The following is a 25,889-nucleotide window of genomic DNA, read 5'->3' on the forward strand; positions in this document are numbered from 1 at the left end:
TTTTGTAAACCAATTATCCCTTGAAATTGACTTTTTTTTTTTTTGAGACAGGATCTTGTTTTGCCACACAGGCTGGAGTGCCGTGGCTCCATCATATGATAAACAGAAAGAGAGAGAGAGAGAGAGAGAGAGAGAGAGAGAGAGACCCTGTCTTATTTAAAACAAAAAAAGAAGAAGAAAAAAAGAATATAGATCACAGCTGTTATTTGTATATGCTACGCCAATCCTTGTTGGGTTTCATTCTTTATAATTGTTATTTTTAAAGATTTTTCTTATGAATATTCTATTGTTTCATTGTAGAAAATTTAAGGGAGAACACAGTGGGAAAAAAAAAACAAGAAAAGGACTTCATAATCCTGCTACCCTGGGAGAAAAAAAAAATCACCATTACCTATTTGGTTCTTCTCCCACTTTTTTTTTTTTCGAGATGGAGTCTCCCTTTGTTACCCAGGCTGGAGGGCAGGGACGTGATCTTGGCTCTCTGCAACCTCTGCCTCCTGGGTTCAAGCGATTCTCGTGCCTCAGCCTCCCGAGTATCTGGGATTACAGGGGTGTGCCATCACACCTGGCTAATTTTTGTATTTTTAGTAGAGACGGGGTTTTGTCATGTTGGCCAGGCTGGTTTGTTGGCCATGTCTGGTTTTTTGTCATATTGGCCAGTCTGTTTGTCATGTCAGGCTGACATGTTTTGTCATGTTGGCCAGGCTGGTCTTTAACTCCTGACTTCAGGTAATCCTGAAGTGCTAGGATTATAGGCGTGAGCCATTGCACCTGGCCTTCTGCCTTTTTTTTAAAGAAAAAAAATTAAAACATTTTTTTCTTTTTAAGATAGCGTCTCATTTTGTTGCCCAGGCTGGTCTTGAACTCCTGGGCTCAAGTGATCCTCCAGCCTCAGCCTCTGGAGTAGCTGGGACTACAGATGCACATCATGGTGTCCTTATGCCATTTCTTTTGTACGTAGGTGAATGCAAGTGTATGATTACATCATATGCTATTTTGGAGGTTTGACTTTCTTTTCACTTTCATCATCTTTCCAAGGTGTTATTTTCCTAGTACATCTTTTTAAATGGACATAGAACATTCTTTTGTATGAACAAACAATAGTTTTATTTAGGCGGTCCTTTCCTGTTGGACATTTATATTATTTTCAGCATTTCTCCACAGTTGTTGCAGCATTCAGATGAACCTTCTTTTTTTTTTTTTTTGAGACGGAGTCTCGCTCTTTCGCCCAGGCTGGAGTGCAGTGGCACAATCTCTCCTCAAGTGATTCCTGTGTCACCCTCCCACGTAGCTGGGATTACAGGTGCCCATGTCTGGCTAATTTTTGTGTTTTTGGTAGAGCTGTGGTTTTACCATGTTGGCCAGGCTGGTTTCGAACTCCTGCCCTGAAGTGATCTGCCCACCTCAGCCTCCCAAAGTGTGGGGATTACAGGTGTAAGCCATCACGCCTGACCCAGATGAACATTCTTGTAGCTATCGCACACAATTCTGAACATTTCCTAGGATGAATTCCTTAAAGAAGTAATGCTGATCCAGGCTTTTTTCTTTTTCTGTGACTCTTTGACACGTAATAATATTGACTTTTCTTTCTTTCCAGACACTACAACAACAGGAGTGCAAACTTCTCTACAGCCGAAAAGAGGGTCAAAGGCAAGAAAACAAAAACAAAAATAGATATAAAAACATCCTGCCCTGTAAGTATCAATATTCCGCTCAGTAATAGTCACTCTTGGAGATTTTGATTCCTAGCACCTCTGTACCTTTCCTCAGGGTCGTGTGCTCTTGTTAGCACATCGGAGGCCTTAGCTTCTTTAATTGCAAGCAGTTTCCAAAATAATCAACCATGGTGGGTGTTGATGACTTCATTCACTGAGCTCCCGTGATGCTGATTACTGAGTAAAGTTGCCACTAGGTGGCTTTGTCTGTGGTTGGTTCCTTCTGTTAATTAATTTTCTGTCTGCCCAAGATAGATCATCTCAAGGCTTGGGATCTCTCAGTGTCAGGGACCTTAGGGTGCCAGATTTGTGTCTTGACTCCTCCTCACTGGGCCTGTGAGTCCTGGGTAAGGCCTGCCTCCTTTCTGGGACTCAGTTCCCTTAAGTGGGAAACAGACAAACACCTCCTGAGGGCTCCTAGAACTGTTCTGCTTGCTGATCCCCTGAGCTCAAGTTACTGGAGAAAGGGTATATACCTAAACTGCTCAGAAGAAGACTTTGTGGGCCGGGCGCAGTGGCTCACACCTGTAATCCCAGCACTTTCGGAGGCCGAGGCAAGCGGATCACCTCTGATCAGGAGTTCAAGACCAGCCTGGCCAACATGGTGAAACCCCATCTCTACTAAAAATACAAAAATTAGCCATATGTGGTGGTGTGCGCCTGTAATCCCAGCTACTCGGGAGGCTGAGGCGGGAAATTGGTTGAACCCAGGAGATGGAGGTTGCAGTGAGCCGAGATGTGCCATTGCACTCCAGCCTGGGTGACAAGAGCAAAACTCCGTCTCAAAAAAAAAAAAGGAAGACTTTGTGAATATTCGCAAAGCTGTAAAGCTGTACCTTTCAATTTTTTTTTGAGACATAGTCTCACTCTGTTGCTCAGGGTGCAGTCACAGCTCACTGTAGCCTCAACCTCCTGGGCTCAAGCGATTCTCCCACCTCAGCCTCCTGATTAGCTGGGACAATAGGCAGGCACCAGTACACCTGGTTGATTTTACAGTTTTTCTGTAGGCCGGCGCAGTGGCTTACGCCTGTAATCCCAGCACCCTGGGAGGCCGAGGTGGGCGGATCACCTGAGGTTAGGAGTTCGAGAGTAGCCTGGCCAACATGGTGAAACCCCATCTCTATTAAAAATTACAAAAATTAGCTGGGCGTGGTGGTGGATGCCTGTAATCCCAGCTACTTGGGAGGCTGAGGCTGAGGCAGGAGAATCGCTTGAACCTGGGAGGCGGAGGTTGCAATGAGCCGGAGGTGCTATGTGCACCACTGCACTCCAGGCTGGGCGACAGAGTGAGACTCTGTCTCAAAACAAAAAACGATTTAAAAAATAATAAAATTTTTTCTAGGGCGGGGTCTCCCTATGTTGCCCAGGCTGGTCTTGAACTCCTGGGCTCAAGTAGTCCTCCTGCCTCAGCCTCCCAAACTGTTGGGATTACCAGTGCAAGCCATTGTGCCTGGCTGTACCTTCTGTAACACCCAAATGCCACCTGGCAAAGCCCAAGTTGAATCATGAGGAAAAAAGGCCTGGAAGGATGTAGACCTTCCTTTTTTCTACTTATTTATTTATTTATTTTTGAGATAGGGTCTTACTCTGTTGCCCAGGCTGGAGTGCAGTGGCATGATCATGGGTCACTGCAGCCTCAACCTCCCGGGCTCAAGTGGTCCTTCCCACCCCAGCCTGCAATGTAGCTGGGACTACAGGCATGTGCTACCATGCCCAGCTAATTTTTGTATTTTTTGTAATTATTTTTTTTGTAGAGACAGGGTTTCGTCATGTTGCCTAGGCTGGTCTCGAATTCCTGGGCTCAAACGATCTGCCTGCATCGGCCTCCCAAAGTGTTGGGATTACAGGTGTGAACCACTGTGTCTGGCTATATCTTCTGTAACACCCAAATGCCACCAGGCAAAGCCCAAGTTGAACCAGGAGGGAAAAAGGCCTGGCAGGATGTAGGCCTTGCATGAGGATCTCAGAAACTGCACTAAACCAGTCACAGTTCCTCTCTCCCGAGGTCTAACTCTATGCTGAACTCTTTGCATTTTTATCTCACTTAATCCATATCACATGCACAGGAAGGAAGCATTCGTAGTATCCTGGTTTCCTAGACCATTTTAGCAAGGTTATAAGTGAAGGGGAGTGGGTGGGAGAACTGGCACTAGAGCCCCCAAAGTCACTGTTCTTAGCACCACTCTAATGCATGGGGTTCTCCATTGATGTGCTATGCAAGGCAGTGCACTGAGGAGAAAGGAAGGAACATTTACAACTTCTCTTTATTTATATCCTGTCCCTAAAAAAAAAAGAAAAAGAAAAATTTGTCTGAGGCCTAGATTGATTGCAGGGAGTGCATAATGTTTTATTGATTGATTGATTGATTGTATATAGAGATGGGGGGTCTCACTATATTGCCCAGGCTGATCTCGAACTCCTAGGCTCAAGCAATCCTCCTGCTTTGGCTTCCCAAAGTGCTGGGATTACAGGCATGAGCGACTGCACCTGGCTATGCATACTATATTTATCCAACTTACAAATAAGGCTTGCTTGCCTGTAGTGCATATGTGTATACATTTCAGCATAGAAAAACTGTGTGATTGGGGGTTGTGATCAAATTTGGAGAGCATTGCTCTCATGTCTTATCAGGTCAGAGTCATTTTGTCAAATCTTGTAAACCATTCTTTGTGTGTGTCTATGCATGAAACATAGTCTTTCTCTTTCTGCATGCATATGTACATATACATGGTATATATGTATATCATATCTACATGGATATTGTAATGTATATGTATGAGGATGGGGGAAAGTGGAGACATTTGTAATACTGAGAAAAGGCAGTGAGGAATTTGCAGAGAAGCAGTTTGAGCTGTAGCATGGTACTAGTGACCTTGAGGAAGCCTTATCCTTTTTTTTTGGAATTTATTTTTTCAATTTTTAGAAATAGACAAGAGTTTCTCTATGTTGCCCAGGCTGGTCTTGACCTCCTGGGCCCAAACTATCCTCCTGCCTTGGCTTCCCAAAGTGCCAGGATTACAGGTGTGGACCACCATGCCTGGCCACCTTGTCCTTTCTATGTCTAAGTTGTGACATCTGCTCAGGGGTCAGGTGGTATTAAATGGTATAAAATGTATGGGAAAGTGAAGGGATCAATGGTATGCAGTATCTAAATAGAATATCGCTTTTTCCTCCCTTAAAGGTCTCATTCAGATGTTTCCTCTGATGAACATCTCATTTCCTTAAAGATGAGGAGTCTGAAGCAAAAAAGACATTATTCTTTTAAGACACATGGCTGTCTTACTAATTCCCATTGCAAAATATGTTGTTTAGGTAGAGCACTCAGATTTTTATACGAATAATAGACTTTTGTACAGAATTTGGACAGTTGATACTATCAGAGCCTTGTGATATTCCACTGCATTATGCTTCACTAAAAAATACCTGGCTGGGTGCGGTGGCTCACAACTGTAATCCCAGCACTTTGGGAGGCTGAGGTGGGCAGATCACCTGAGGTCAGGAGTTCAAGATCAGCCTGGCTAACATGGCAAAACCCCATCTCTACTAAAAATACAAAAATTAGCCAGATGTGGTGGCACGCTCCTGTAATCCCAGTTACTCAGGAGGCTGAGGTATGAGAATTGCTTGAGCCCAGGAGGCAGAGGTTGCAGAGAGCCGAGATAGTGCTATTGCACTCCAACCTGGGTGACAGAGGAAAACCCTGTCTCAAAAAATAAATTTAAAACAACAACAACAACAACAACAAAAACCCCTCTTTATTATGGAAATTTTCAAATATATTCAAGAGCATAAAGAACCCACATGTACCCATCACCCAGCTTCAACAATTATCAACTCATGCCCAGTCTTGGTTTCATCTATACTCTGATCCACATCTCCTCTCTCCTTGAATTATTTTGAAGCCCATCTCAGACATCATGTCATATATGTATACTTCAATCTTCTTTTTTTTTAAAACTCCCCCTCCCCTTTTCTTTTTTCTTGAGACTGTGTCTCACTCTGTCATCCAGGCTGGAGTGATCTTGGCTCACTGCAATGTCCGCCTCTCGGGTTCAAGCGATTTTTGTACCTCAGCCTCCCTAGTAGCTAGGATTACAGATGTGGACCAACATGCCTGGCTAATTTTTGTATTTTTAATAGAGACAGGGTTTTGTCATGTTGGCCAGGCTGGTCTTGACCTCCTGACCTCATATGATCCACCTGCCTTGGCCTCCCAAAGTGCTGAAATTATAGGCCACTGCGCCCAGCCCAAAATTTCTTGGTTTGAAATAATTTTGGAACTCATAAGAAGTTACACATATAGTAGAGAGAATTTTCTTGTACCTTCTCTGAGCTTCCTATATACCCAATGATAACATCCTATATACCCATAGTATATGATCAAAACTAGGAAATTGTGAAGATGGCATTTTGAGACATCAGGCAGTGTTCACGTTACTGTTTTGCTTACCTGGGCTTTAATTTTTATGTGTTTTTTTTTCAATCATTGAATGAACAAAACTTGGACTAGGCTGGGGAGTAACTGATTTGAACTGTTTTTTCCTGAAGCAGTCCAGGACTTATGTGACCGTGGTCTCTTTTTCTTCTAGTTGATCATACCAGGGTTGTCCTACACGATGGTGATCCCAATGAGCCTGTTTCAGATTACATCAATGCAAATATCATCATGGTAAGCTTTGCTTTTCACAGTGTTTTCTGACCATACATTTCTAGCCTATTTTTGTATTTTAAATCCTTCCTCATGTCCTGAAAGTAACTTTAAGGTGTTTGAAGGATTTTCTTCCTAAATTTCTAGCCTGAATTTGAAACCAAGTGCAACAATTCAAAGCCCAAAAAGAGTTACATTGCCACACAAGGCTGCCTGCAAAACACGGTGAATGACTTTTGGCGGATGGTGTTCCAAGAAAACTCCCGAGTGATTGTCATGACAACGAAAGAAGTGGAGAGAGGAAAGGTAAATCACAGAAACTTCTTTTCTGCTAAACTGTTTTTAAAGTATCAGACATGTCAGATTGGCCATGTTTAGGAATTGAATAAATGAATTAAGCTTACTGTAACTGATTCTCTGGAAAAAAGGGACTAGGAGAAATTTGATTATGTTATTCCTTGGTGTAGTTTTCTTTATGTTTCTTCTGCTTGGGATTTGTTGAGCTTCTTGGCTCCATGGATTTGTAGTTTTCCTTAAATTTGGATAATGTTCAGTCTTAGTTTCTTCAGATACATATCCTGGGCTGGGCATGGTGGCTCATGCCTGTAGTCCCAGCACTGTGGGGTGTTGAGGTGGGCGGATCACTTGAGGTCAGGAGTTTGAGACCAGCCTGGGCAATGTAGTAAGACCCCATCTCTTAAAAAAAAAAAATGTACCCTGCACAACCTTGTCCTAGGACAGCAGTCATACGTGTATTAGACTACTTGAAGTTGTCTCATAGCCCACTGATACTTGGTTTATTTTATTCAGTTTTTTCTCCCCGTGTTTCATTTCGAATAGCTTCTTTTGCTATGTCTCCAAGTTAATCTTCTGCAATATGTCATCCGCTCTTAATCCTATCCAGAGTATTTTTCATCACAGACATTGTATTTTTCATCTCTAGAAGTGTTAATGTCATCTATAGCTTTCCTTTTAACATGTGTAGCATTTTCCTTACCTTTTGAATGTATGGAGTATTTCTGTTGTTGTTTTTTGTTTTGTAGAGACAGGGTCTCGGTCTGTTGCCCAGGCCGGAGTGCAGTGGCATGATCTCAGCTCACTGCAGCCTCTGCCTCCCGGTTCAAATGATTCTCATGCCTCAGCCTCCCAAGTAGCTGGGACTACAGGTGCGTGCCACCACGCCTGGCTAATTTTTGTATTTTTAGTAGAGATGGGGTTTTGCCATGTTGGCCAGGCTGGTTTTGGAACCCCTGAGCTTAGGTGATCCACCTTCCTTGACCTCCCAAAGTGTTGGGATTATAGGTGTGAGCCACCATGCCTGGCCATGTTGTCTGTTTTAATTAACTCTGCCTAACTGTCCTCCCAAATGGTTGCTGCAGTGCTCACTCCCACCAGCAGCACCTGCCTAGGACTCATTACTCCATACTCTTCAAGACACTTCAGATTAAAAAAATAAATTGTAACACCCCACACCTACAGAAGAGCGGACAGATCTTATTGAGTGACAGCCCTCTGTGTTATCTCAAAGTGAGCCCACCATGGTGGTTTTTTTTTTAAATATGGAAAAGTTCTGTGTTTTTGTTTGTGTTCTAGTGAAAGTTCTTTTTTAGATATCCTTTAATTGGTTTATATAAGATTTTATGTGGAATGTAGCAGTCATACCTATAAATTAAACCTAAGGCAGATGGAGAACTTTGGAGTTGAGCCTTCCTACTGTAATTTTCATATTGGATGTGAAGGGCAGTGTGATTTTCATAAGACTTTCATTGTTGTACTCCTAGTTGGTATACTTCTGAATACCTTTGAGGCCAGTTCTGGTCATCGTGAAACAAAGGTTTCCTTCAGCAAATGCCTGTGGTAACATTAGGTGTTCTTGAATTAATGGACCAATGAAAACATCTTTGTAGTTTCTGCTTCAGGCAAGGGTTTTTTGCCCTAAATGTGGATAGGAAGAATGAAGCCCTTCATCCTCCTTTTTGCCTGATTATAGCTATAGGAGGTTCACCTGTTCTCAGAAGACATGAGGATTGTGAAGAGAGGGGTCTTGTGTTGCTTCAGAGGAATCAGTATCAGTCCCTTTCAGAAGCTCTCCTGGATAGACAGGCATTAGGGCCAAATCACTCTGCCCCACCCCTCACCACCATGTCCTACTCTCTGCTCCCTGTCTCATTCTTCCTCTTTACTTTGGTGGTGCCGAGAGGATGACATGATGGGTATTGATTCTCTCCACAGACCTTTCTGACATCCTACTTTCAGTATCCCCCCAGTGCACAGAAGACAAGCCAGACTGTGGACTGTGTTTGATTCCTGGGCTCTATTTTAAAAGACAGTGTATTAGTTCTCACATTTTAGAATTTGTTTGCCAAGGTTTCCACGGGAGTTTAGAAACTAGGGGGAGGGCTGATGTTTAAAGTTAGCTAAAATGTTCTTTTCAGGGTCATGATTTAATTTTATATTCTCTGGTGAGTTCCCTATAGTGACTGGGAGCAGTCCTCAGTCTTGATTGGCCAGTGACAGCATAGAGTACAATTAATATTAGGAGTGCTCATTTGGGGAAACTAAAATTTGCATCAAATCTGTCAGAGGTGTTTGGATCTACAAAATACCGGAGGGAAAGCTGAATTGAGAATCATAATAAATAAAAGACCACATCGTTCTTTTTTTTTTTTTTTTTTGGGACTGTATCTTGCTCTGTCACTCAGGCTGCAGTGCAGTGGCACTATCTTGGATCACTGCAGGCTCCGCCTCCCGGATTCAAGCGATTTTCCTGCCTCAGTGCCTGAGTAGCTGGGATTACAGGCGTGTGCCACTACACCTGGCTAATTTTTGTAATTTTAGTAGAGACAGGTTTCACCATGTTGGCCAGGCTGGTCTCAAACTCCTGGCCTCAAGTGATCCACCCGGCTTCCCAAAGTGCTGGGATTACAGGCGTGAGCCACTGCGCCCAACCAAGACCACATCCTTTTATTGAACGTTCCTCCTACCATGTTTTCTTTTTTCTTTCAATTAATCATTGACTCATTGACTCTCACTGTTGATGTCTGTAGCTGCTCTCTTATTTCCAGTTTTATAGCTGTAAATTTCTCTGTCTTCCTAAGATACAAGGTAAATTTCTCTTGCTGATATTGGTGGTTTTGGAAAGTGAGTGGTGTGGATGACTGCCCAGAAAACAACAGAACACAAAAGCATTCTCTGCCCAGAACACATCACCAAATAGATACAAACTCATCTCTTACTGAGTGAAATAGCTTCCTTTTTGGCAGCAAGAATGATTTTCTTGGTGCCATATTTTTCAATCCGCCTGCTCTTGAAGCCAGCAGCTATTGCAGACTTGGCATTCCCAGGCACCCAGTTAAGGGAAAGTGACGTGTAGAGGAGGTATCAGATGGGTCTGGATATAGAAAAAGCAGCTGGTTCAAAACCCCATGGGCTGCCTTTCTGTGATAGAGTTATTCACACTTGGGTTAGATAAGGCACAGAGTCCTCCTACACTGGTGCGGAAATGAAACAGACAGTCTGGCTCGTTGGGCAGCCTAGCCTCCTCCAGAATCTGTGCTTGCCTTCCCTATGGAGTGACTGGTAGATCTTAGAATTCAGACCTCAGTGGTTGCTAGCCAGCACTCTCACATTGGTTGGTCCTTCTCTCTGCATCTTTGATTCTTTAGAGATAGATAAACCAAGCACCGACTCTCCTTTGACATGTGCTTGGAACAGACACCTGCACGAGCTGCCTTTCTCCTCCCACTTCTGCCTGGTCTTCCAAACACCTGCTTTTCTTGTTTGAACTCTTCCTTTTTTTTTGAGACAGAACCTCTCTCTGTCACCCAGGCTGGAGTGCAGTGGCATGATCTCAGCTCACTGCAACCTCTGCCTCCCAGGTTCAAATAATTCTCCTGCCTCAGCCTCCCAAGTAGCTGGGATTACAGGTGCCTGCTATCACGCCTGGCTAATTTTTGTATTTTTAGTAGAGACACGGTTTCACCATTTGGCCAGGTTGGTCTCAAACCTCTGGTCTCAAGTGATCTGCCCGCCTCGGCCACCCGAACTGCTGGGATTACAGGCATGAGCCACTGCGCCCCAGCTGATTCTTTACAGATAAACAAACATTGACTCTGCTTTGACATGTGCTTGGATCAGGTAACTGCACCAGCTGCCTTTCTCCTCCCACTTCTGCCTGGTCCTCCGAATGCCTGCTTTTCTTATTTGAACTCTTCTGTCCTTTTCTGAAAACCTAACAGATGCGAAACAGGCCATTTTCCATGTTGGTGGTTATTAAGCAAGACTTGAACATTTGTTTGTTGCTTGTTTAGGCTTTTATTTCAGAGTTCACAGAATTAACTTTCTTTTTTTCTGATCTCTTCCAGAGTAAATGTGTCAAATACTGGCCTGATGAGTATGCTCTAAAAGAATATGGCGTCATGCGTGTTAGGAACGTCAAAGAAAGCGCCGCTCATGACTATACGCTAAGAGAACTTAAACTTTCAAAGGTTGGACAAGTAAGTATATTGTCGTATTCTAGAGACTTTGGGAACTGTTGATGGTGTGTAGGAATTCAGGGTCTTGCCGTTACTCATGTTTGCATACATGCATGCATTCGCTCACTCATTGATTCAGTAGCCATTTATTAGCTTCCTTCTATGTGCCAGGTACAGTTTAAGCAGTACTGGTACATTGTGAACAAGGCAGGTAGTGTTCCTGCCCTCATCGAGCCTAGGGAGATAGACAATTTAAAAACAAATAACTGGCCAGGCGCCGTGGCTCAGGCCTGTAATCCCAGCACTTTGGGAGGCTGAGGTGGGTGGATCGCTTGAGCCGGGGAGTTCGAGACCAGCCCTGGGTGGGAGACTGGGATAGGGTGACCTGAGTGGCTACAAGGTCTGTTAGGAGGCCTCCGCAGGGGCCTATGTTGATGGCCTCCTCTCCAAGTATCCACAGACTTCAGCAGTTGTTCTTTTTTGTTCCTTCCTTTGGAATGGAATATTATATAAAATGGCAGAATAAACTGGAAGAGAAGCAGTAGATGTGAGAGGTGCCGGGGGGTGAAGTCTGCAGGATGTGGGGATTGTTTGGCTTTTGGAGGAGGAAGGAGGGATTCAAGACACATTGTAGAGGTTTGAGTCTGAGCGGACAGTGGTGCTGTGGCAGACACCACAAAAGCTGGAAGGAGAACTGATGTGGGCAGTGATTTGTTTTCTTCTGGATGTGTTCAGCTGGGCATCTGAACAGTCATGTGGACATTCATCTATTCATTCAGAGATATTTGTTCAATGACCTCTTGGTTCCTGGCACCATGCTGCTTGCTGGAGATAGAGCTGGGGAACAAAACAGATGGAATCCCTGCACTCCCAAGTGTACACTATACTGGCCAGTAATCTACCAGCCCAGTAATTGCACATATAAATATATCATTATAAACTGTAATCAGGGCTAGAAAGAAAAAATGCAGGAGTTTAGGGTTCATTTGGAGGGGGAAGGGACTTTTTTTTTTTTTTTTTTGAAACAGAATCTTGTTCTGTCACCCAGACTGGAGTGCACTGGTGCATTCACGGCTCACTGCAGCCACAACCTCCTAAGCTCAAGTGATCCTCTCACCTCAGCCTCCCATGTAGCTGGGGGCTACAGGTGTGTGCCACCATGCCCACCCAATTGTTAAATTTTTTATAGAGACGGTTGTCTCATTATGTTGCCCAGGCTGGTCTTGAACTCCTGGGCTTAAGCGATCCTGCTGCCACATGCAGCCTCCCAAGGTGCTGGAATTACAGGCGTGAGCCAGCGCACCCGGCCAAGGGAGGGGAGGTTCTTAAGGCATAGGGAACAATGTGTTTGAGTCAGCAAAGGAGGTTGTGGGGGTTTGTCCTAAGTGTGGTAAGCAGCCAGAGTTGGATTTAAGTTTTTAAGAGATTCCCCTCCACCCTGTAGAGACTGGAGGGGGCAGGAGTTGTTCTAGGGATTAGGACCAATTTGGAGGTAGTGCAGCCGTCAGAGTAAAAAATAATAGGGATTGAACTAGGCCAGTGCCCAGGGTGCCTGAAAGAAGAGGACCCAGTAGAGCTGACTGGAGGCAGACATGCAGGGATTCAGTGAAGGAGTGTACCAAGGGCGAGGGTGGTGTGCAGGGTGACTGGCAATTTTCTAGCTTGAGAAAGGTCCGGGGGGATGGCAGTGGAGTTGAGGAAGCTGGGAGGATCAAGGACCTTTTTGTGAACACACAAAGTTTGAGATGCCTTGGACACATTGAAGTGGAGCGGTCAGGGAGGCAAGGGTGGAGGTGGGATGCGGAGGGGAGGTGGGATGCAGAGCGTCGTGGATGGATCAGTTTTGCTCGATAGAGGGACATGTTTTTCTGTGGCAACAGGAGGGCAAAAGGAGAAGGTGGCCACAGATGCCGGTAGATGAGCTGAGAGTGATTGTATTCCCTATCCTCTCGGAAGCTTGAGGCAAGGCCATCAACAGACAATCAGAGGGAATAAGAAGAGATAGAATATATGAAGAAAGGGAGAAAAGATGAAATCGTAATTGTGTAGCAGGGCAAGAAGTCCAGAAATTTCTGTGCTGTGCCAAGTTCCCAGTTGAGGCGGTGAACATGAAAATATACTGATACCCATTGCCTGGTTTTTCTCCAAGGACACTTGGCTCCTAGGGCACAAAACAGAAAGTACGTGGTTTGTCCAGGCCGAGGGCTTTGCATAGTTGCAGTGGATGGAGAGGAGGTCAAGGAATGGAGGCACATGGTAGAGAGAGACTGTCCCCAGAGCACGGGGACTCCTGGCCGGATGAGGGGGACAGGGGCAGGAGGAGGCAGGTGGAAAGTAGAGGGAGGGCTCAGTGGTCTGGAGGCTACAGGAAGTGACGGGGGGACCAGAAGGAGCTGGAAACCAGTGTGGTTGTGGCCCAGGGTGGGATGTTTGGATTTCTGATGTCAGAGAGGGTCCAGTCCTTCTGATGATGGGGAGGGGTGGAGGCTGAATCTATGGTAGAGATAGTGAGAGGAACTGGAACAATGTAGCTGTCAAGTGGAAATGGGAGAAAGGGCTGGGCGTGGTGGCTCACGCCTGTAATCCCAGCATATTGGGAGGCTGAGGCAAGAGGATCGTGTTAGCTCAGGAGTTCTGGGCTGCATTGAGCTGTGATTGTGCCACTGCACTCCAGCCTTGGCAACAGAGTGCCCAGTTAAAAATAAAAATAAAATAAAATAAAAAAATTAAAAAAAAAAGAAGAAGAAAAAAGAGAAAAGTGTCCTTTTACATCCCTTTTAAAAATGTCACTTAAGGCTGGGCAAAGTGGCTCATGCCTGTAATCCCTGCACTTTGGGAGGCTGAAGTGGGTGGATTACTTGAGGTCAGGAGTACAAGACCAGCCTGGCCAACATGGCGAAACTCCTTCTCTACTAAAATTAGCTGGATGTGGTACATGCCTGTAGTCCCAGCTACTCGGGAGTCGAGTCTGAGGCCCAAGAATTGCTTGAATCGGGGAGGCGTAGGTTGCAGTGAGCTGTGATCAGGTCACTGTGCACCAGCCTGGATGACAGAGTGAGACTCTGTCTCAAAAAAAAAAGTCACTTAGCTTAGATTGTCTCTACATATATAGGAAGAAGATGTAGGAATGAATGGTGCTGCTACAATTACGTCATCTGGATAGACCCAGAAACATGATACTTTTTGGTTTTCTGTAGCCTTGGTGCCATTGTTGATCTTTATTAATTATCATTATCCTCAAAATAGCCATAATGTGCTGAGTCTCTTCCTATTTGCTGGGCAGAGGCTGAGTATTTCAGCGAGCTCACTGAGTCCTTAAAATTGCATTATGATAGAGAGAAAGAGATTATTATTTGCATTTTGCAAAATGAAGAAATTGAGGTTTAGAGATACCCAAGGGCCACGTGAGTGTGAGTGCCTGGAATTGGAGCCTAAATCTAGTCATCTGATAGCAAAGCCTGTTTTCTTATCTGCTTTGCATTAAATATAAGTTTAAAATAGAACAATACTGGCCAGGCTGGGTGGCTCACGCCTGTAATCCCAGCACTTTGGGAGGTCGAGGCAGGCAGATCACCTGAGGTCAGGAGTTTGCAACCAGCCTGGCCAATATGGCGAAAGAAACCCCATCGCTACTAAAAATACAAAAATTAGCCAGGCATGGTGATGTGTGCCTGTAATCCCAGCTACTTGGGAGGCTGAGGCAGGAGAATGGCTTGAACCCGGGAGGCAGAGGTTGCAGTGAGCCAAGATCACGCCACTGCACTCCAGCCTGGGCAACAGAGTAAGACTCTGTCTTGGAAAAAAAAAAAAAAAAGAATGATACTATAGTCTGTGTTTATATGGTGGGGAAGGTTGAGTATCAAAAAAATAACAAAGAGGAATGAATGTCTTAAGTGAATGCCTGTTTCCCCATCTGCTTCCTCTTCTGCTGGGAGGAGAGACCTGGATCCCTAGAGGTTTCAGTTGCCTCCAGAGCTGAGTGCCACAGGGATGCAGGGGAATAGGGATGTTACCTGTCGCTGGTAATTCAGAGAGATGATTCAGGGTATAGTTACCTGAAAGAACAAATTGCCATGCCAGACGTCTTGGTTCTTATGACAGAGGCAAAGAGTTGCCTCCAGGATTGCCCAAAAGGAGACGAGTTCTGGGAACCTCACGAAGAGGACCTTTCAGTGGAACCTGGGGAGATTCTCTTCCTCTCCATTGGATTTAGGAAAGCTTAGAACCGGGTGATTCCTCAACCTCTTGATTTATTTAATTCTTTTCTGGTTTTTCTTGGCTCTACTCCAGGGGAATACGGAGAGAACGGTCTGGCAATACCACTTTCGGACCTGGCCGGACCACGGCGTGCCCAGCGACCCTGGGGGCGTGCTGGACTTCCTGGAGGAGGTGCACCATAAGCAGGAGAGCATCATGGATGCAGGGCCGGTCGTGGTGCACTGCAGGTGACAGCTCCTGCTGCCCCTCTAGGCCACAGCCTGTCCCTGTCTCCTAGCGCCCAGGGCTTGCTTTTACCTACCCACTCCTAGCTCTTTAACTGTAGGAAGAATTTAATATCTGTTTGAGGCATAGAGCAACTGCATTGAGGGACATTTTGATCCCAAGGCATATTTCTCCTAGACCCTACAGCACTGCCATTGGCCATGGCCATGGCAACATGCTCAGTTAAAACAGCAAAGACTAAGTCAGCATTATCTCTGAGTCCACCAGAAGTTGTGCATTAAACAACTTCATCCTGGCTCTGCAGTTTCTCCTTATTCTTCATGATGTTTGCTTTGTAGCTGTTGACTGCTTTGTAGGTATTGAGGTGGTGGGGGTGTGGTGGAAATAGGCCTGACTCTTGAGGATCCCTTAAGTCATTTTTGCTTGGTTCTCTTTTTCCTTCTTTTCTTCTACTCTTCTATGATTCATCTCTTTGATTGTGATTCTGTTCTCTCTCTCTCTCTCTCTTTTTTTTTTTTCGTTTTTGAGACAGAGTCTTGTTTTGTTGCCCAGGCTAGAGTGCAGTGGTGCCATCTTGGCTCACTGCAACCTCCGCCTCCCGGGTTCAGGCCATTCTCCTGCCTCAGCCTCCCAAGTAGCTGGGATTACAGGCATCTGACACTACGCCCGGCTAATTTTTGTATTTTAATAGAGACAAGGTTTTGTCATGTTGGCCAGGCTGGTCTCGAACCCTTGACCTCAGGTGATCCACCTGCCTTGTCCTTCCAAAGTGCTGGGATTACAGGTATGAGCTACCATGCCCGGCCCATTCTGTTCTCTTCTACCATAAATATATTTCTCCCCTAACACTATATTTGTTTGCTTCACAAGATTCCAGCTGCTTTTCCACCAAGGCCTTTGATGGAAGCTGTGCTGTGACCTCTGTAATGAGTCTGTGGGCTGCTGATTCTCCAGTTTGGGCTTCATGATTATACTGGGGAATATTGGGTTTCCTAAATCTCATTCATTTCTTGGGCAAGTAGATATATGTGAAAGTGTTTATTTGTCCAGTTGTTAAAGAAGCTACCATTTATTGAGCCAGCCTCTGAGCACAATGTTTTTTGTTTTGTTTTGTTTTTAATTTTTAAAATTATTTACTTCTTCTATTTCAATAACTTTATTATTATTATTTTTTGAGACAGAGTCTCACTCTGTCACCCAGGCTAGAGTGCAATTGAGCGATCTTAGCTCACTGCAACCTCTGCTTTCTGGGTTCAAGCAATTCTCATGTCTCAGCCTCCCGAGTAGCTGGGATTACTGGTACGTGACAACATGCCTGGCTAATTTTTGTGTTTTTAGTAGAGACGAGGTTTTGCTATGTTGGCCAGGCTGGTCTGGAACTCCTGGCCCCAAGTGATCCTCCTGCCTCGGCCTCCCAAAGTGCTGGTATTATAGGTGAGAGCCACTGCGCCCGGCCCTCTTTCAGTAATTTTGATGTATTTTTTTGTATATGATTCCTGTTTCATTCTGTCCAACCAGCACTCTGTATGGTATGTGCTGTTGTCCCCATTTCACAGATGCAGAAATTAAGGGTCAGAGAGGTTAAGGGACTTACCTCAGGCACGTTGTACTGGAGAAGCTGAACTCCAAGAGCAGGTTTGGGCTGACTCCAAAGCCCTATGCTTTTTGCCAACATATTTTCAAACATAAATAGACAATTTTATAAATAGCTCCAAAGAGTAGACATTGTTTCTGTTGATATTAATGGCTTGGTTTTGAGTCTGAAACCCCCATGAATGATTCTGTTGTCCCTGCTTTTTGTCCTTCTGCCCGCAGTGCTGGAATTGGCCGGACAGGGACGTTCATTGTGATTGATATTCTTATTGACATCATCAGAGAGAAAGGTGGGTCATCTGGTGGGCAAGAAGCGACAGTTTCTGTTTTTAGTTTATGGAAGGAAAGTGCTCACGAAAACAGTCTGGGGAAGAGAGGTTGAATGGGAAAATTCTTTCACAAAAATCTGGGCTGAAGACTTCAGTGTGTCTGCCTGAGAACAGAAGTGACACTATTTGAGCTTTTGGCATAAAATGAAGTCTAGGAGCTGCAGAACCCACTGCCATGGCCTTTTGTTGCATACACAGTGGTGGTCTCTATCCAGCCACCTGACCTTGTTTACAGTATGGGGTGATTTGTTGGCAAGTGAGGGAATCCTGACTTCTGCCACTTCGTTATTTATGTAGTCTTCTGGGATCATTGGTATTGGTCAGAAGTTCAACACTGTAGCCATTGCAACATGCTCAGTTAAAACAGCAAAGACTAAATTAGCATTGTCTCTGAGTCCACTAAAAGTTGTGCATTAAACAACTTCATCCTGGCTCTGCAGTTTCTCTTTATTCTTCATGATGTTTCCTTCGTAGGTGTTGACTGCGATATTGACGTTCCCAAAACCATCCAGATGGTGCGGTCTCAGAGGTCAGGGATGGTCCAGACAGAAGCACAGTACCGATTTATCTATATGGCGGTCCAGCATTATATTGAAACACTACAGCGCAGGATTGAAGAAGAGCAGGTACCAGCCTGAGGGCTGGCATGCGGATTCTCATTCTCTTGCTAGGCCTCTTGGATACGCTCTCCTTTTGAGCAGGAGGACAGGCTCTGATAGACAACTGTTTGATTTCGGAATGGGAAACAAACTCCCAACTAAAAGGGCCTCTGGAAACTGTCAATTATTCTCCACTTCTCAGCTCTGATTTTTCACTGCAGAGGAGCTTAGGGAAGGGCACCATCCTATCAGCCTGGCCTGCCAGATTGAAGAACTGCCATGCAGAAAGGTTCTGATGTTCTCAGGCTCATGTGGCAAGCGTAAAACTCAAAGCCTTGAAGTTTCTAGCCTGTTCCAGCCTTGATCCAGGCCATGTTTATCCTGATTCCATCCTTTAAAACGAATGCCTCACTCTTAATAGCGCACGGCAGTTTGAACCACTAATTTGGTCGAGTTGGAAACAGTGAAATTTCAATTTTAATAAGCTGTGCATAATGAAGAGGAATGTGGAATTGGAGCCTTTCCATCTGAAGCTATTCATAACAGGCACAAAGCTGAGTTAATTAGGAATATGCTGAGATGAAGGAAATGAGGAGAGCTGCTCTTTTGGGGGCTGTGCTTCTCTCCCCAACCCCTCAACCCCATTGCCATGCTGCAGATGGGGTGGTGTCTAAACATCAGTGGCGAGTGCCTGCATTACTCTGCTCGTTGCCTTCCAGAGAACTCAGCTTCTCCAAATGCTGAGCTCTTTTCAGAATGGGACCTGCCACCAGTATTTGAAAGATTTCTAGCCTAGCAGAACAGCAGCCACGTTATCAAAGTTTGGTTGGCCAAAGGAAGGTACTTGCTAATTAGTTTAGTAGGTTTTCAGTCCGCACAGACATACGGGATTGTTTTATTGTACATAGACATCTTCAGAAACAGTGTATGTATAGAAATGTAAGGTCAAAATTTGAACCTCAGTGCTTTAAATCTGAATTTGTATTAACTGATATGAAATATTTAGACGGTTACTTTATTTTATATCTGTCTTCCATTATACTTAATTTGGCTCAAGAATAGTTAGGCAAAAAGTTGCCCAAAGAGAAGGATCTCCTAGTAAATACAAAGAGAATGTAACATAGTTGCTACAAGTTGGAGCATGTTCAGGGATGTCTTTTTTTTTTTTTTTTTTTGAGAGAGAGGTCTCTCTCTGTTGCCCAGGCTGGAGTGCAGTGGTGTAATCATGGCTCACTGCAGCCTCAATCTCCCAGGCTTAAGCGATCCTCCCACCTCAGCCTCCCAAGTAGCTGGGACTATAGGCATGCGCCACCACACCTAGCTAATTTTCGCATTTTTTGTAGTGTCACAGTTTCGCCATGTTGCCCAGGCTAGTCTCGAATTCCTAGGCTCAAGCAGTGCTTCTGCCTCAGCCTCTCTGAGTAGTTAGGACTACAAATTTGTGGCTCCATGCCCGGCTAATTTTTTTATCTTTATTTTGTAGAGACAAGGTCTCACTGTGTTGCCCAGGCTAGTCTTGAACTCCTGGGCTCAAACAACCCTCCCACTTTGGGTTTCCAAAGTGCTGGGATTACAAGTGTGAGCCACTGAGCCCAGTGACCTCTGGGTTTTAAAAATGTGTAGGCTTCAATTATTTATTTTAAAAAATGAAATCCTGCAATATATAGTTTTCTGCGTTGTGTGGTTTGAATCAATCTGGGAACTGGCTTGCTGGCTGATTGTGGTAAAGTAAGAAGTACTTAATTTAGTAGAAAGTTTAAATGGCAGACATAACATTAAACCCAGCTGATTTATAAATGAAGCAAAAGAACAAAACTCATTCAGGATAATTGGTTATTCTAAAATACAGTCATTTCTAAAATTATGAAGTGTTCAGGACCTTTGGGAGTGAAAGAATTTGCTAAAGAAGGATCAGTGAAAAAAAGGAATGATGGGTGAAGAGCTGTGGAGAAGGAAGAGAAGAAACAGCACAAGGAAGGAAGAATATAAAATCAGATGTGGGAATCCAGGGGAAAGTGCAAACGAAGCAAGATTGAGAAAATTCTCAAGTTTTTATAAACAGTTCTCACACTCTGCCAGTTCCTTGGAGGTAGACTTTTTTGTTAACTTCCAACTACAGTAGTGAAAAAAAAAAAAAAACCCTCAAATTTGCAAAAGCAGTCTGTGGAATTTTCTTTACCCAGCTTTCCTGACTGTTAACTTTTTAGCACACTTAACTTTATCATTCGTTTATTCTCTCTGTTTAAAATTAAAAATGTAAATTTTAAAAAGTAAAATGTTTGTTGGTTACAAACATTTATACCCCTTTGTCTCTAAATATCATTTCATTTTAAAAAATGAATAATCTAAGCCTACACATTCTAAAATGTGTATATTTTCTAAAAATAAGGGCATTCTCTTACATAACCAATGTCACAATTATTTGATACAGTGATCAAAATCAGGAAACTAACATTGATATAACACTATTATCTAACCTACAGACCATCTTCAAATTTTGTCCTGCTAGTATCTTTTATGGGTCCAGGGTCACACAGTGCATTTGGCTATAATGTATCTTTTTTCTCTTTTTTTGAGACAGGGTCTCACTTTGTTGCCCAGGTTGGAGTGCAGTGGTGCAATTATGGCTCACGGCAGCCTTGACCTCCTTGGGCTCAGGTGATCCTCCCACCTCAGCCTCTCGAGTAGCTGGAGACCACAGGTGTGCACCACCATGCCTGGCTAAGTTTTGTATTTTTTGTAGAGATGGAGCTTCGCCGTGTTGCCCCGGCTGGCCTTGAACTCCTGGGCTCAAGTGACCCTCCCGCCTTGGCCTCCCAAAGTGCTGGGATTACAGGCGTGAGTCACCACACCTGGCCAGTTATTAGTATGTTTAGTCTCTTTAATCTGGAACAGTTTCTCAGTCATTCTTTATTTTTCATGACCTGGATGTTTTTGAAGAGTTTAGGCCAGCTATTTAGCAGAATGCCTTTCAGTTTGGATTTGTCCAGTGTTTTCTCTTGACTATATTCTAGTCATGCATTTTTGGCAGGACTGTCACAGAAATGTTGTTGTAGTCTTCTTAGTACATCACATCAGGTACACACTGTTGATCTGATTCATTACTAGTGGTGTTAACTTTGATCACTTGAATAAGGTGGTGTCTGTCAAATTTGTCCACCGTAAAGTTACTTGAGCAAAACGTAGCTGGGACTACAGGCGTAGCAAAAAATGTAGCAAAAAGTAGTATTTTTGCTACATTTTTTTTTTAGGAACAAAGTATTTTTCCCTTTTAAGTTAATCTCTTGTCCATAAAGTTATTATTTTTCCCTTTTAAGTTAATATCTTGTGGGTAGATACTGGAGACTGCGTAAATTACCTATTTCTCATAATACTTTTTTTTTTTTTGAGATGGAGTCTCGCACCGTCTCCCAGGCTGGAGTGCAGTGGTGCAATCTCGGGTCACTGCAAGCTCCACCTCCCGGGTTGACGCCATTCTCCTGCCTCAGCCTCCCAAGTAGTTGGGACTACAGGCGCCCGCCATCACACCTGGCTAATTTTTTGTATTTTTAGTAGAGACGGGGTCTCACCGTGTTAGCCAGGATGGTCTTGATCTCCTGACCTTGTGATCTGCCCGCCTTGGCCTCCCAAAGTGCTGGGATTACAGATGTGAGTCACTGCGCCCGGCTCTCATAATACTTTTTGCCTACTAATTTTATATTCATTGATTAAATTCTTGCCTGAAAAAATTATTACTGTGGTATTTGCCAAATGGCAATTTTCTGTTTCCATCATTGCCTTTCCCCCGCTTTTAAAAGTATAAGTGACAAAGAAAAACTGTATATAAAGTGTACACCATGATATTTTGATATATGTATACTTTGTGAAATGATTATCAAAATTGAGTTAAATAATGCATCCAACATCTCAGTTACTTTTTTTTTTTTTTGAGACAGAGTCTTGGTTTGTCACTAAGGCTGGAGTGCAGTGCCACAATCTCGGCTCATTACAACCTCCACCTCCCAGGTTCAAGTGATTCTCCTGCCTTGGCCTCCCCAGTAGCTGGGATTACAGGTGCCCACCATCACACCCGGCTAATTTTTGTATTTTTAGTAGAGGTGGGGTTTCACTACGTTGGCCAGGCTGGTCTCGAACTCCTGACCTCAAATGATCCTCCCGTCTCAGCTTTCCAAAGTGGTGGGATTACAGGCGTGAGCCACTGTGCCCGGCCACTCTTAGTAAATTTTAAGTGTACATTTTTTTTTTTTTTTTTTTGAGATGGAGTCTCACTTTGTCACCCTGGCTGGAGTGCAGTGGCATGATCTTGCCACACTGGAACCTCTGCCTCCTGGGTTCATTCAGGTGCTTCTCCCACCTCAGCCTCCCAAGTAGCTGAGACTACAGGTACCCGCCACCATGCCTGGCTAATTATTGTATTTTTAGTAGAGATGGGGGTTCACCATGTTAGCCAGGCTGGCCTCAAACTCCTGACCTCAGGTGATCTACCCACCTCGGCCTCCCAAAGTACTGAGATTACAGGCATGAGCCACCACACCCAGCCACATTACGTTAGTATTAACTATAATCACCATGCTGTACATTAGATCTCCAAAATGTATTCATCTTATGTAACTTCAAGTTTGTACCCTTTGACCAAAGTCTCCTTGTTTTCCCTACCCCCAACCCCTGGTAATCACTGCTTTAATCTCAGTTTTTATGAGTTTGACTGGTTTAGATTCCACATACAAATGAGATCAGGCAGTGATGGTTTATTTCACTTAGCATAATGTCATCCATGTTCTTGCAAATGACAGGATTTTCTTCTTTTTAAAACTAATATCCATGCTGGACACGGTGGCTCATGCCTGTAATCCCAGCACTTTGGAAGGCTGAGGAGGGTGGATCACTTGAGGTCAGGAGTTCGAGACCAGCCTGGCCAACATGGTGAAACCCCATCTCTACCAAAAATATAAAAAATTAGCTGGATGTGGTGGCGCACACCTGTGATCCCAGCTACTTGGGACACTGAGGCAGGAGGATCGCTTGAACCCGGGAGGCGGAGGTTGCAGTGAGCCAAGATGGTGCCACTGCACTTTAGCCTGGATGTTGATGTTGTTCCACTTGTTTATTTTTATTTTGTTCCCTGTGCTTTTGGTATCAAATCCTAAAAACCATTGCCATGACCATTGTCATGTTACTTTCCCCATATGCTTTCTTCTAGAACTTTTAAGGTTCATCATTCCCTTTTCTGTTTTTAGTTGCAAGCCTACTATAAGGAAGGGCTTTTCTTTCTTCCTTATTTATTTATTCATGTCTATCAGAATGGGCACCTTACTACTATTTTTGTTGTTATTGCTTGAATTGACTTGAATTTGGCTAGTGGAAACCTTTTCAGATCGGGTACTCTGTCCTTTTGATCTCTTTCCATTTTCAAGCACTTCTTTAGACTTAAGATGGTCTAGGCTCATCTTCTCCTTTCCCAGCCATTTTTCAAAGGAACCTGATTCCTTTTAGTGAAGAGCAGTATTTTGAAACCAAGATCTGGGCACTGGGTCTACTTGTTTGTACTGGTACAGTGTTCTTTGAATTGCTAATTAGCTGATCAATTACTGCTCTATTTGAGTTCCCTCTTTCTAAAACCTCACATATGTGTACAGACGGTCCCTGACTTATGATGGTTCGACTTATGATTTTTGATTTTATGATGGTTTGAGAGCAATACATCCATTCTGTTTTTCACTTTTCATTCAACACTTTATTTTAAAATAGGGATTGTGAGATGATATTGCCCACGTGTAGGCTAATGTAAGTGTTCTGAGCACGTTTAAAGTAGGCTAGGCTAAGCTGTGGTGTTTGGTAGGTTAGATATGTTAAATGCATTTTCGACTAGTGATATTTTCAACTTATGATGAGTTTATTGGGATGTATCCCCATAAAGTCGAGGAGCATTATACATATCTCTGTATAACAGAGTGAGTTCCTTATACCTTTCATCCACTTTCCCCTGAAGTTAACATTTTACCTAACCATGATACATTTATCAAAACTAAAACATTAACATCAATACATTGCTATTAACTAAACTAGAGTTTAATTGGATTTTGCCAGTTTTCCAATGAATATCCTTTTTCTGTTCCTTGATCCAATTCATGGTCACACACTGAGTTTGGTCACTTGTCACTGTAGTCTTCTCCAATCTGCGACAGCTTCTTAGGCTTTCCTTGTTTTTCATGTACTCTTGACGATTTTTAAGAGTACTGGTCAGATATCTTGTAGGATATCCCACAACTTGTGTTTAATCTTATGTTTTCTCATGATTAGACTTGAGTAATGGATTTTTGGGAAGAATACCACAGAGGTATATTGTTAAGTGTTCTCATCACTTGGAGGTAAATGTTATCAACATGGCCTGGTGATGTTAAACTTGTCAGTTTGTTTAGTTAGTATCTGCCAGATTTTTCTCACTGCATAATTACAAATCCTCCTTAACTTATGATGGGGTTACAGCCTGATAAGCCCATCATAAATTGAAAATATCATAAGTCAAAAATGCATTTAATGCATCTAAACTACTAAACATCACAGCTTAGCCTAGCCTGCCTTGAACGTATTCAGGACACTTACATTAGCCTACAGTTGGGCAAAATCATCTCATGGGAAGCCTGTTTTATAATGTGTTGCATATCTTATGTAATGTGTTGAGTACTGTACTCAGAATGAAAAACAGAAGGGTTGTATTGCTTTTGCACCATCATAAAATCAAAAAAACCATAAGGCAAACCATCATGAAGTTGGGGACTGCCTGTACTTTTTTCCTCTTTCCCTGTTCAATTCCTTGGAAGAAAGTCATTTAGTTCAGACCATACTCAAGAAAAGGGAAATAAAGCTCCATCTCTTGGAGCTTAATTGAAACTGGAATGACTAGTTTCTATATACATTATTTAGAATCCTTTTGTAAGAAAGATTTGTTCCTTCTCTCCATTTATTTATTCCATTATTTATATTGATAGAGACGCATGTACATTTATTTTATACTTTGGGTTATAATCTATTTTTCTTGCTCAAATTGTTACAGCTTTGGTCACTGGGAGGTTCTTCAGATTGGCTCCTGTGTCATTTGACATGTCCCCACCCTCTCGTTTCTGAGTACTTCTCTACTTTGGCATTACAAAAGATGTTCCAGGCTCCTCTTATATTTTTCCCTGCCGCAGCCCTAGAATCATCCATTTTTCTATGGTGCCCTGGTTCCTTTTACTTTAGATGGGGGTTTAGAAACCAATCTGGGTGTTGGGTGTGCTCATTGCTACTGGAATCACTGCTTCTAGGCCCTCTCAGCAGATAGAGCTAGAAAACATATGGCTGTATATGAATCCATGGATTCATATATATCTATAATTGTTTTCTGTATCTGGCCATCTATATATATATTAAGCTAAACATGAATTCATACTGATGTCTCAGACTCGAATCCATTGCCGCAGGGCTCATTCTTGCCTTCCTCTTGCTTATTTGTGACTTCTTTCTCTAACAGGGAGAAACCCCAGTCTCATTATCACCAACCTATCTACTCATTTGTTCAACCCTGGTATAGGTGTAAAGTAGTTTCAGAATTACTAACCTATACCCATGTGAGAATTGTATTTGCACTTCTTGTTTGAAGGAAATACATACAACACAGGTAGCGTCTCTACACTTCAGTATACAGAGATCTGAACAGTGTTCTCTCTGAGTGAATCATATTGCAGGACAGAAATTACTTTTAAAAATTCTGTAATGGGTCAGGCCTATAATCCTAGCACTTTGGGAGGCTGAGGTGGGCAGATCACCTGAGGTCAGGAGTTCGAGACCAGCCTGGCCAAAATGGTAAAACCCCATCTCTACAAAAAATACAAAAATTAGCCAGGCGTAGTGGTGTGTGCCTGTAATCCCAGCTACTCAGGAGGCTGAGGCACGAGAATCACTTGAACCTGGGAGGCAGAGCTTGCAGTGAGCTGAGATTGAGCCACTGCACTCCAGTCTGGGCGACAGAGCGAGACTCTGTCTCAAAAAAAAAAAAAAAAAAAAATTCCATAATGATAGCAGAGCTGGAATAGAAATGGGATTGCACA

General features: G+C 43.5%; 1 protein-coding gene and 1 long non-coding RNA gene across 6 annotated transcripts in view; both read left to right on the plus strand.

Annotated features, from left to right (window-relative positions):
* Window positions 1–25,889, plus strand: part of PTPN11 (protein tyrosine phosphatase non-receptor type 11) — a 90,972-nt gene that overhangs the window by 52,400 nt on the left and 12,683 nt on the right. For 2 of the 5 annotated variants that reach the window (NM_001330437.2, XM_011538613.3), the window contains exons 7-13: window positions 1,598–1,694; window positions 6,305–6,384; window positions 6,511–6,669; window positions 10,728–10,859; window positions 15,117–15,283; window positions 17,097–17,164; window positions 17,678–17,829. In NM_001330437.2, the coding sequence (NP_001317366.1) occupies window positions 1,598–1,694; window positions 6,305–6,384; window positions 6,511–6,669; window positions 10,728–10,859; window positions 15,117–15,283; window positions 17,097–17,164; window positions 17,678–17,829 (855 nt within the window). Of the gene's footprint in view, window positions 1–1,597; window positions 1,695–6,304; window positions 6,385–6,510; window positions 6,670–10,727; window positions 10,860–15,116; window positions 15,578–17,096; window positions 17,165–17,677; window positions 17,830–25,889 lie in introns of those variants that run through there. The other 3 variants (NM_002834.5, NM_001374625.1, NM_080601.3) reach the window with 2 other exon arrangements.
* On the plus strand, window positions 17,838–20,078 carry LOC124903024 (uncharacterized). The gene is made up of 2 exons (XR_007063467.1): window positions 17,838–18,642; window positions 19,672–20,078. It is a non-coding gene; the product is annotated as an uncharacterized LOC124903024 (long non-coding RNA).

Source organism: Homo sapiens, chromosome 12, assembly GCF_000001405.40.
Source record: "Homo sapiens chromosome 12, GRCh38.p14 Primary Assembly".
NCBI lineage: Eukaryota > Metazoa > Chordata > Mammalia > Primates > Hominidae > Homo > Homo sapiens.